Source organism: Homo sapiens, chromosome X, assembly GCF_000001405.40.
Source record: "Homo sapiens chromosome X, GRCh38.p14 Primary Assembly".
Lineage (NCBI taxonomy): Eukaryota > Metazoa > Chordata > Mammalia > Primates > Hominidae > Homo > Homo sapiens.
The window spans coordinates 38,873,773-38,886,218 of NC_000023.11; the positions used below are offsets into that span (position 1 = coordinate 38,873,773).

Sequence of the window (12,446 nt, forward strand, 5' to 3'; positions counted from 1 at the left end):
GAATTAGTATATAAGAGAATACACTATTTCATGATTCACTACTTGATTACATGAGCCACAGACAGATCATATTTTGTAGTTTGAAAAATATTAACCCACAACATCTATTTTGTTGGTTAGATGATAGCCCATTGTAGAGATTTGCCATAATTATTGAACAAATCTCCAATTGTTGGACTTTCTTATTATTTCCAATATTTTGACATTCATTCTTTTGTTTATTAAATCGTTAAACCAATATGTATTAAGTGTTTACTACATGCCAGGCACTATTCTAGTTGCTGAGGACACAGAGGTGAACTAGATATATTTGGTCCCTACAGTTAATGCACTTGTATCCTATGGAGCACAGGGAGACAGACAATACGCACATCTAGAGACCAGGAAATCCCAGGAGACTGTGATAAGAATTGATGGAGTGGGGTTACTTTAAGTGATGGTTGGGAGCTCTCTGAGGGCCGCTTTCTGAGGACTCTCTTAAATGCCAGCTCTCTGAGGGCTGGCATTTAAGCTGACACTATAGTAACAAGAAGATATTGTTGAAGTAATTCTTGAGAAAATCCGGGGTAAGAGAATCTGGGCTGGGAGAACAGCTAGCAGAAAGGTCCTAAGGTCGTTGAGAGCTTGGCACTTTTGAGGATCAGAAGGATGGCCTGTGTGACTTGAGAACAGTGAAGAAGGGGGAATGGCCATAAGAGATTAGTCTGGAGAAGTTGTTAGAGGGTAGATCATCCAGAACTTTCTATCACAAACATACTCCATCTTTGCTTACAACCGCAGTTAGGTAATGAGGAAAAAGTTCAAGAAGTGTCCTGAACAGCAGCAGCTGTGGGTGGGGAATGTTGGATGTCTGGGAGACTGAGAGCTGGCCCAGTTTTTTGAATGAAGGCCTCTGTGCTAAAGAGGATCTAAGGTTTGTTGGAGGAGCATGGCCCTGGCACAACACTTTGTCCTTTTCCAAGTAGGTCCTTCATAGGGGATTTAAGCAATAGAGTATTTTGTTTTAAATTCTGAGCTATTATTTTTTAAAATTTGTATTTTCAATAGCTTTAGGGGTACAAGTGGCTTTTGGTTACATGGATGAATTGTGTAGTGTGAAGTCTGGGCTTTAGGAGTGCCCATCATCCAAATAGTGTACATTGTACCCAATAGGTAATCTTTCATCCCTTATGCCCCATCTAGCCTCCCCCATTCTGAGTCTTCAATGTCCACTATACTATGTATGCCTTTGCATACCCATTGATTAGCTCCCACTTATAAGTGAGAACATGCAGTATTTGGTTTTCCATTCTTGAGTTACTTCTTGCTGCAAAAGAGATTATTTTGTTCTTTTTTAAGGCTGAGTAGTATTCCATGTGTGTGTATATGTATATGAATATATATGAATATATGAATATATATGTATATATACGAATGTATATATATATATATATATATGTATGAAACTGGATCCCTATGTATATACCACATGTTCTTTATCCACTCATTGTTTGATGGGCACTGAGGTTGATTTCATATCTTTGAAATTGTGAATTGTGCTGTGATAAACATGTGTGCAGGCATCTTTTTCATAGAATTGACTTCTTTTCCTTTGGGTAGATGTCCAATAGTGAGATTACTGGATCTAATGGTAGATATACTTTTAGTTCTTTGAGAAATCTCCATGCTGTTTTCCATAAAGGTTGTACTAATTTACATTCCCACTGTCAGTGTATAAGCGTGCCCTTTTCACTGCATCCACACCAACATCTACTGTTTTTTTTTTTTTGCTTTTGAACAATAGCCATTCTTACTGGGGTAAGGTGGTATCTCATTGTGGTTTTAATTTGCATTTCCCTGATGACTAGTGATATCGAGCATTTTTTTCACATGTCTGTTGGTCATTTGTATACCTTCTTTGAGAAATGTCTGTTCATGTCATTTGCCTACCTTTTTTTTTTTTTTTTTGAGAGACAGAGTCTTGCTCTGTTGCCCAGGCTGGAGTGCAGTGGTGCGATCTTGGCTCACTGCAAGCTCTGCCTCCCGGGTTCACGCCATTCTCCTGCCTCAGCCTCCCGAGTAGCTGGGACTACAGGCGCCCACCACCACACCTGGCTAATTTTTTGTATTTTTAGTAGAGATGGGGTTTCACTGTGTTAGCCAGGATGGTCTCGATCTCGTGACCTCATGATCTGCCCGCCTTGGCCTCCCAAAGTGCTGGGATTACAGGCTTGAGCCACCGCGCCCGGCCATTTGCCCACTTTTTAATAGAATCATTTGTTTTTTTCTTGCAGATTTGTTTGAGTTTTTTGCAGATTCTGGATATCAATCCTTTGTCAGATAGACAGTTTGCAAGTATTTTCTCCCATTCTGTAGATTGTGTATTTACTCTGTTTATTATTTATTTTGCTGTGCAGAAGCTTTTTAGTTTAATTAAGTACTATTTATTTATTTTTGCTTTGTTTCATTTGCTTTTGGGATCTTAGTTGTAAATTCGTTACCTAGGCCGATATCCAAGACTTTTCCCTTGTTATCTTACAGAATTTGTATGGTTTTGGGACTTAAGATTAAAGTATTTATTCCATCTTGGGTTAATTTTTGTATACATTTGGTTATCCAATTTTCCCATCTCCATTTATTGAATAGGGTGTCCTTTTCCCAGTTTATGTTTTTGTTGGCTTTGTCGAAGATCAGTTTTTTGTAAGTATTTGGCTTTATTTCTGGGTTCTCTATTTTGTTCCATTGCTCTATATGTCTCCTTTTATATCAGTAGTGTGATGTTTTGCTTACTATAGCCTTGTAGTATAATGTGAAATTGGGTAATGTGATGCCTCCAGATTTGTTCTTTTTGCTGAGGATTGCTTTGGCTATTTGGGCTCTTTTTGGTTCCGTATGAATTTTAGGATTTTTTTTCTATTCTGTGAAAAACGATGTTTGTATTTTGATAGAAATTACATTGAACTATAGATTGATTTGGGCAGTACAATTATTTTCACAATATTGATTCTTCCAACCCATGAGCATGGGATGTATTTCCATTTGTTTGTTTCATCTATGATTATTTTCATTAGTGTTTTGTAGTTCTTCCCGTAAAGATCTTACAATTTCTTGGTTAATTATGTTCTTAGGTAGTTTATTTTTTTGCAGCTATTGTAAATGGGATTGAGTTCTTGATTTGATTCTCAGCTTGATAATTATTGTTGTGTAGCAGTGCTACAGATTTGTGTGCATTGACTTTGTAACCCGAGACTTGCAATAAGGTTTTTGCTAATTTACTGCCTGGTGCTCAACACCTAGGGCAAGGCTTGACACATAGTAGGTGTTCAATACATGTCTGTGAAGCAAACAAATGAATACATGGACATCCCCCAGGCCTAAAGGCAAAGGACAGTGGTAATTTCTGACAAATCATTATTGCACATTCAAGTTTTTCAAATGTGACTGTCTATTCTCATGCAAACAGAGAAGAAAGGACTTTCATGTGATGAAGAAGAAGAGAGCATTTCTTTCAGCTCCTCTTTGGTAAAGTCACAAATAATCTCTCAAAAGCCACTATGTATTTATTTGGTCTTTTTTTTTTTCTTTAATGAAATGCCATGACGCTTCACCAGCTGCTTTTTGCAATGAAAAAAGATAACACATTGGGATTACCAGGAACAGATGTTGAAGAGGCCTAGAAATCTGATTTTTCCACATCAGGGACCCTGTTGTGTGCTGAAATAAATTAACAGGGTTATTGGAAGCTAGATGTTGGTTTCTTTGAGATTGCTTATTGCCTTGAAGAAGGGAGGGTGGGGAATGCCATCACAGGACAGCGCTGGAGGAGCCTCCAAAGGAAGCCTTTGCCTGCCAGGGTCTCCCTGCTGCTCTGGCACTAGCTCCATGTGACACAGCTTTCCCCTACTCTGCATGCTCATCCTCATCATAAACCCATGCCCTCGGTAAACTTGAATGGGGCAAGACAGACACATTTTATTCTGGTGCTTAATGAATGCCTCTCTTGACTTTTTTTTTGTCTTCTGAGTAAATGGCCTAGGCCTGGTGCTTTGAGATACAAAAACCATTTCAGTAATCCATATAGGGCAAAATATGTGGAATAAGGAGAGATCTCTGAGAGATCAACCAAATACCTCCCTAAGGAATTTGAACTCACAAGTGTGGTCACTGGGTAAGAAAACTGCTTTGATCTTCATTGATATAATTTTCCTTGTGGAAAGAAAGAGACATTCTATCTATGTGGGAAGATTTTCTTTCCCTTTTAACAAGATTGTTCTCTGTCATTTCTTCAGCTTTTAATTGAAGCATAATGACCATACTGGAAGTGCACAAATCATAACCATACAATTTGATAGATTCACATAAAGCCAACACAGCCATGGAACTACCACCTAGATCATGAGAGTGAATGTGACCGGCACTCTGGTCCTTTCCCCTCGTGCCCCTTTCCAGTCACCTCCCCCACGAAGGGTGGCCACTATCTTGTCTTCTAATACAATAGATGAGTTTTGTCTAGTTTTGAACTTAATATGAGTGGAATCATGTAGCATACACTTTTTTTGTGTCCAGCTTCTTTCATTCAACACATTTGTGAAATTCATCTATATTGTTATGTGTCGTTGTAGTTCAGTTATTCTCATTGCCATAGAGTCATACATTGGATGCATTTACCACAGTTTATCCTTCTTACTTTTGATGGGTATCTGGGTAGTTTCTAGTTTCTTTTACAGTTATAGCTAATGTTGCTTTAAACATTTCTTTCCATGAGCCTATGTACCCATTTCTGTTGGGTATATTCCTAGGAGAGAAATTGCTGGGTCATGGGTTTGTGTATATCCCACTTTAGTAGATGCTGCCAAACAGTTCTCCAAAGTGGTGGCACCAATTCACACTCCCACTGGCAGTGCACAAGAGCTCTGGGCTTCATTATTTTGCTGTTGTATCGTCCTCCCCTATGCCTCTATCTTGGGTAACTTTCAGCCACCGCCACTGTGAATATCTGAGTATGCCTTGGCAGGATTTCACTTGAAAAAGGCTGTTCTCTGGAACTGTCTTTCCTACTTTCTCTTAAGTACTTTCTGTAGCCACAGAAGTGCAGACCGCTTAGCATCTGCTCAAGTACAAAACTGATCTTTACATAATGCTGGCTGGGATTGGGGGAAGTGCAAGTAGAAGAAACCATTCTAGTCATTGAGCTTTGTTTTTTGGAATTATAGTCTTAAAATGTCTCTAATTCCCTGGATGTTAATGCTTGTGGAAGGAATAAGTGAGAGTTAAACTTCCCTTCTGAAAAAGAACATAAGCAGGTATTAAAAGAGAGTTATGAGAATCAGTAAGAATTATAGTTAAGGGTGGGACTGCCTGGATTCAAATCGTGGCTCCATCACTTACCATGTGACTTTAGGCAAATTACTTGAAATCTCTGCTTCAGTTGCCTCAGCTGCCAAGCAGAGAGAATAGTAACATCTATGTCATAGAGGTAGATTTGTGAGGACTAAATGGATTAATACATGTGTAGCTCTTGGAAGAATGCCTGTCATGTGGTAAGTACTATGTGAGTGTTAGCTGTAATGCCTATCTTAAGTCTTGAACCCTAGAAGCAGTTCCTGTGATGCCACAGAGTCATACATTGGGTACATATACCTACGCTGAAACTAATAGAAGTGTGAATTGGTGCACCCACTTTGAAGAACTGTTTGGCAGCATTCATTAAAGTGGGATATATACAAATCTATGACCTAGCAATTTCATTCCTAGGAATATACCCAACAAAAATGGGTACATAGGCACACGGAAAGAAATGTTTAAAGCAGCATTAGCTATAACTGTAAAAGAAACTGGAAACTACCCAAATGCCCATCAAAAGTCAGAAGAATAAACTGTTTTGTTCAAGTTCAGTTGAAAGAGTATTCTCAGGAGGGGGAAGGCAGGAAGCAGGACAGGGCATAGGGAGGAGCTAAGGATGTGGTTGAGCTGGAGCCCAGCTTTAACCTGATTCCAGGGTGGTTCTTGGGGCATAAATGACACCAGAGTTATCTTACCATGAAGCAAGGGGGTTGACTTTTTATACTGTTATGTCAGTCAGTCATTGGCTATGAGATGCTGGGGCTGGGGCACTTTGGACTGGGGACTCAGTTCCTGTTAGTTGAGGACAATCCTCCAGAGAAGGCTGCAGCTGTAAGCTCTTAGCAGTCAACAGCTCACAGCAGCTGGAAGCTGGGTGCACCTGCCAAAAAGGGGATCTGGGCGGGGCAACAACACTGTTTATTTTTCATAGCCAGGTTTTTATTGTAGTGACATCAGAAGAACTGTAAGGCCAATGATAAAGCAAGTCTTTCAGAGGTAAGGCACATAGCTTCCTGGGCATTCTTTTTCAGGAGCAGGAATGTCCACATGTGCTCACGAGCCCGAGAAGTCTGTACCTGCAGATGAGTGATGAGCTCGTGAATGTACCTGCTCCTCCAACAGCAGTTGCCTCCGTATAAGCTTAAAGCATTAAGGCTCCCCTTGTCATCATGTTCCTTCCACTCAAGCGGCCCCTCCCTTAGCCCTGCTTCTTGGGATACTTACCTTTCTAGACCACTACTTTTAATCTAAGTTTTTCTCTGCCTTCTGACCATCTCTATTCCTATGAGGGAAGTGAAAAGAAATGTACAAAATACATCGTCATTTATTGGAGGCTCACTGGCTCCTTAGTCTGTTTGCTTGGCAGTGAAATGTCACCACACCAAGAGCTCATGACTTAATCAGCATTTATATAATCTGCCCCTCTCTTTGGGAGATGAAGCCAGTGAGCTCTGCTAGATGCATGTTTGATTTCTAGAAGGTATTTCTGCTGGCCGTGACTCTCTCAGTATCCAGCTCTCCACTTGCACTGAACAAGGCAACATTAAAGCAAGCTGAGTCACTCTGTAGACAAATAGGAAGCCACTTACTTCCCTGTCTCTGCACCTAGGGAATGCTGGGAGAGCCGGTGAACACCCCAGCACTAGTGGGGCTGGGAGTTTTAAAGTACTACATGAAAAAGCCAGACTCACACTAACATACACATTTCTTAATTTCAATTCAACAAAGTGGGAGAGGTGCACATCAGCCTACCTGGGAGGTAAAATCTGGGAAAGGAAACTAGAATGTACAGTGGCACTAAGCTGAAATCTGCAACATGTACCATTTTCAAGCATTGGTTTGTTAGATAGTAAGTAGTTTGCTCATTCATTCATTCAGCTGGTATTCAGTAACTATCCTCTATGTGTCAGTTTCTGTGCTCCATGCTGGACCTATCAAGGAAATTAGCCACAAAACAAATAATTGTAATTGTGATAAGTATTATAAAGGGCCAAATCCAGTAGGAACTGGGAGCTCTAGCATATTGCTTACTACTACCAGGAGAGAAGTTGGGAAGATTTTTAGCATAGGGACTGCTACTTCTGACACACATGAAACTTTGTGGGTTCATCAGAAGGCCAAAACCAAAAAGGTTAAAAAATTAATTTTTGGACTCCAGTGCTTTGCATGCAATGAATGACTGCACAGATGCCTGCCAGTTCATTCACACATTCGTTTGACAAACATCTGAACACCTCCAGGACATACCAACTGGACAGACTCATTTTTGATTCTTCAGGTATAGCCATGTGCCACATCATGACATTTCAGTCGATGACAGATTGCATATACAATGGTGGTCCCATAAAATTATAATGGAGTGATATGATGGAGTAGGCTATACCATCTAGGTTTGTGTATGTAAACTCTATGATGTTCACACAATGACAAAATCGCCTAATGTGCATTTCTTAGAGTGTATTCCCACCCTTAAGCGATGAATATCTGTAGTAACATTTTTGCATTCTGCATCAAGGGCATCATCCCTTTCTTCTATCCTCCCTGGGCTGCTCTGCTCAGATATACCTGAAGATCACCTGGGTAGGTTAGAATTTAAAAGAAAACCCTGATGGAAGAAGAAAATGATTCCATCAAGAAAAATTGTTAATTGTGTTTTCTAAACCTTTTCCCCAAGGAGGTTTTCAAGCAAGCGGTGAATTTTCATGTGCAAAGCAGGAGGGCTTGTTTATGTCTTTAACCTTGATGAACAACAGGAGAGCTGGCCAATGTTCGTGTGATTGTTGGTCACTACGTGACTCAGTGGTCAAAACAAAACCCATGGGACCTGACTCCTGAGGCCTGTGCTTCACTATCAGCCATAACTTCCTCATTTCTTTTTATGGCTGGTGGATTTGGCCCTTTAAATAGCATTGCATGAAGCTAGCGCAGTCAACAGTTCAGGATTTGAGCTAAATGGAGGCAGCATAGGCCAGATAGGTAATGTAATACAGTAGCACAGCAGCAGCAAGAGCAACAGTAATGATAGTGATAGCAGGAGTAGGAGTAGTAACCATATTGTGTGTGTTGTGCACTGTACTTAGCACTTGTCCTCATTATCTTATTTAATTCTCTCAACGGTCTCAGGATATATGTACAATCAACCGTCCACATCCATAGTTCCATATCTGCGGATTCAACCAAACTTGGATAGAAAATATTTTTTAAAATAACAATACAAATGTAAAAATAATACAAATTTTAAAAACCAATACAGTGTATCAATTGCTTTGGGAAACTGAGGTGGGAGGATTATTTGAGGCCAGTAGTTTGAGACCAGCCTGGTCAACATACTGAGATAACATTTACACTGTATTAGGTATTATAAGTAATCTAGAGATGACTTAAAGTATGCAGGAGGATATGCGTAGGTTATATGCAAACACTAAGCAATTGTATATAGATTTTGGTATCCATGGGAGGTTCTGAAACCAATCCTCCACATATACCAAGGGACAACTGTGTTAGTATTATTGTTCAATAGAGGTCAGCTAACTTGCCCAGGGTTACAATGGTTTAAGTGGCAGACTCAGAAGTGGAATCAAGATCTTTCTGACCGCAAGATTTATTTTCTTATTTCAATTTATCATCTCTCAAGAAAGTGAGCTTTGGGATAAAAGAAAAATAAAACTGCCAGTTAAAGCTCTATGAACATGGTGAGGATATTTAAACATTTTGTCCTTTGGTTTTCTTCTCTGAAAAATGAAAATAGCTCAGAAGAGTTGTGAAAATTAAATGGATTAATTAATTTAAAATCTCTGGCACATAGTAGGCACTCAATAAATGTTAGTTTCCTTCCTTTTTGAGAAAGCCACTTGGATTCCTTTGCAGGATGGAAATCAAGGAAGCATTAGCTCAAGTTGAAGCTTTTCAGAGATCTGAAACTAATACTGCCTGAGTTTTTCCAACTCAGGAAGGAGGCTAGTGAAATATCACAGCCCTCAGCCAGGTGGCCTGTTACTGAGTAAACCCTGATGGGAAATGGTGGCAGGGGACTACTTCTGTTACACAGGGTAGCTGATATGCAAACATAAGTCACTGTATTGCCATATAAAGATTTAGTTCATAACCGTGTGATACTATAGTTACTTTGAGAGAAGAGAACTAAAAAAACTCAAGCTGTAGTCCAGTGAAATTGTTCATTTTTGGTAAAAGAGATTCTGGCAGTTTGAGACTCCATCCCTGGTTGATTGTTGAAGCTTCCAGAGAATGAGTCCAGTGACTCCTCATCTCCTGTACTATGATTGGGCACTGAGTCACACTCCCAACCCCACCCTGGCCCTCTATGGCACTCCCCAACTGGCGTTCCTGCAAGCTTTCCAAACCAGGGTACAGTCATACTTCCCACAAACCTGCTAAGGGCTTCCTGGGACAGCGGATGCTTGAGGAGTGCTTGGTCAAGGCCTAGGTTTAAGTCGTGGTTTTGCCTCAAGTGAGGGATAACTCTCAGCAGTCTTGCTCATAAGTCTTTTTGAAGAACCAACTTTTTTTTTTTTTAACTTTTAAGTTCAGGGGTACGTGTGCAGGTTTGTTATATAGGTAAACTTGTGTTTACCTTGTGGGTTTTGTTGTACAGATTATTTTGTCACCCAGATATTAAGCCTAGTGTACCAATAGTTATATTTCCTGATCCTCCCCCTCCTCCCACCCTCCTTCCTCTGATAGGCCCCAGTGTCTGTTAGAACCAACTTTTCACTTCTTGAGTATCTCTATTGTCCGTTTATGTTCTTTGGCTTATCTTTATTGTTTCCTTCCTTTTGCTTTCTCTGAATGTAATGTGTTGTATTTTTCTTCTTGGAATGAATAATGAGATCACTAACTTTTAGCTTTATTTCCTAATTTATGAATTCAAAGCTATAAATTTCCCTGTAAGCATAGCTTTAACTGCACCCCACAAGTTTTGCTATGCTATATTTTTATTACCACTCAGTTCAAAGTTTTTTTCTAACCTTTATTGGGATTTTTTTTTTTACCTGGGAGTTATTTAGAAGTATAATACTTAAGTTCCAAATATTTGAGGATTTTCCAGTTATATATCCTTAAATTGCTTTTTAATTTATTCTAGCTGTGGTCAGGGAACATACTCTAAGTGATCTCAATTGTTCAAAATTTATTCGATGTGCTTTATGGCCCAGCTATATATAATTTTGGTAAATGTTTCATGTACACTTGATATATATATATATATAATATATAGTATGCAATATTAAACATATGCACAAAATATATCAATTAAATCAAGTTTGTTATTTGTATGTTTCAAATCTTCCTTATTGTTTCAATTTCGTGCCTGTTGTTTTTTTCTTTCTCTAACAGTTGTGGAGGGAAATAACTAACAAGGCAGAAATTGTAACAATAATCCAGGTCTCAGAATGAAGTACATATACCTACATTTTGCATTCCTTGGAATTCTTTTTCCATAACTTCCTGCTAACCAGAAAGATGTGAATTTGGGAAAGGTGGTCCAAAGGCTTTCTGTTGGGCTTGTATTTTCAAATGTAAGGGAGTTGCCTTACAATTCCTCACCATGATTGTGAATTTGTCTGTTTCCTCTTTATTTCAGTCAATTTTTGCTTTATAGTTTAAGGCTACATTATTACATACATATAAGATTGTTTTATCTTCCTGGTAGACTGTGACCCATTTAATCAAATGTCTATCTTTTTTCTTGAGATAGGGTTTCACTCTGTCACCCAAGCTGGAATGCATGATCTTGGCTCACTGCAGCCTCCATCTCCTGGGCTCAAGCAATCCTCCCACCTCATTCTCCTAAGTAGCTAGAACTACAGGAGCACGCCACCATGACTGGCTAATTTTTGTATTTTTTTTGTAGAGATGGGGTTTTGCTATGTTGCCCAGGCTGGTCTCAAACTCCTGGACTCCAGAGATCCACCCACCTTGGCCTCCCAAAGTGCTGGGATTACAGGCGTGAGCCACTGCACTTGGCACAAATGTCCATCTTTATGTCTTGTAATGCTTCTTCCTTTAAAGTCTACTTTGTTTGCTATCGTTACATCTACACCAGTTTTCTTTTGGTTAATGTTTGCATGGCATAACTTTTTTCATCTTTTTACTTTCAGATTTGCTGTATCTTTATACAAAAAGGCAGGGCATCGTGTCAAATGCCTAAAAAAAATGTCGGGCTCACTTCAATGTGTTTGCCTTCTCCCTGAGATCTTGACTTCTCCAGTTGTGGCCTCCTGGGTATTCCTGAACTCCAAGTTTTGCCTCCCTGGGTTGTGAGACTTCCAAAACCTCCATTTGGCTTCCTAGTGTCTCAGTTGCCACTCTTTTACTTGGTTTTTTAGACTCGTGACTCCAAGCCTCTTATGAATCAGCAGATTCATCAAGGGGAAAATTGGGTTCAAAATGCCAGATTCTTCTCAATGCATTTCCTTTCTCTACAGGATGCTGGTCTTTCAAGTCCCTGCTGCTTTGGAAGATCTCTGAGGCCTTCAACCACATTCTTTGTATTTATGTCCTACTCTTCTACTTGTTCTCTGTGGAAGAGAGACAGAGGAAAAAAGCTACTGTAACCTTATCCTAAGTGGATGCCTAGGTGAACATTTTGGATGGTCACTTAACCTAAGTCTCAGTTTCCTCATTAATAAAATGGGGGCACATGAGACATACCTCATGAGGTTGTTTCGAGGCTTAAATATACGTTAAATGTATTTTGTGAGCCTAAAAGATATTTAAACACAAGCCGCTATTACATCTTTACATGATTGAAGTTCCTGAAGGAGACCTGTAGTGGGTGTCTATACAGGGCAGTTGGTTCATGTGGCCAGGTCTACTTGGGGATGTGAATGGAAGTTTACTTCTTCTGGGAACTTTGATTGTTAATATTGTTGGATTTATCACTCTTTAGTGAAACAAGTTACTTCCTCATGGTGGTAAGAAGTCCCAGAACACTGTTCCAAACACTTTCCCAAAGGCTCATCCTTGAAAACCCAAGGCCATCAACAAGCCATTGGACTACCCTTTTTTCAAATACACATCTTTCTGGCAAACAGGGGATTCTTCTAAAATAATTTGAAGAAATGAAAAATACCAGCTTACGTGCTTCACTCTGAGATCATTTCTGT

At 39.6% G+C, this 12,446-nt stretch overlaps 1 long non-coding RNA gene across 2 annotated transcripts in view, besides 1 other annotated feature; it reads left to right on the plus strand.

The window, feature by feature from the left end:
• The window catches only part of LOC124905177 (uncharacterized), a 148,876-nt gene that overhangs the window by 3,026 nt on the left and 133,404 nt on the right, over positions 1-12,446 (plus strand). The window contains exon 2 of one of the 2 annotated variants that reach the window (XR_007068214.1): positions 11,766-11,995. The exons of the other annotated variant lie outside the window; for it this stretch is intronic. This is a non-coding gene — a long non-coding RNA (uncharacterized LOC124905177). Of the gene's footprint in view, positions 1-11,765; positions 11,996-12,446 lie in introns of those variants that run through there. 2 annotated transcript variants of the gene reach the window in all.
• Positions 6,023-6,072: an enhancer, noted in NCBI's record as "active region_29523". NCBI's record gives its function as "activates an Ori minimal core promoter by ATAC-STARR-seq in GM12878 lymphoblastoid cells {active_cell/tissue: GM12878}" and the evidence as "EXISTENCE:reporter gene assay evidence [ECO:0000049][PMID:35858748]".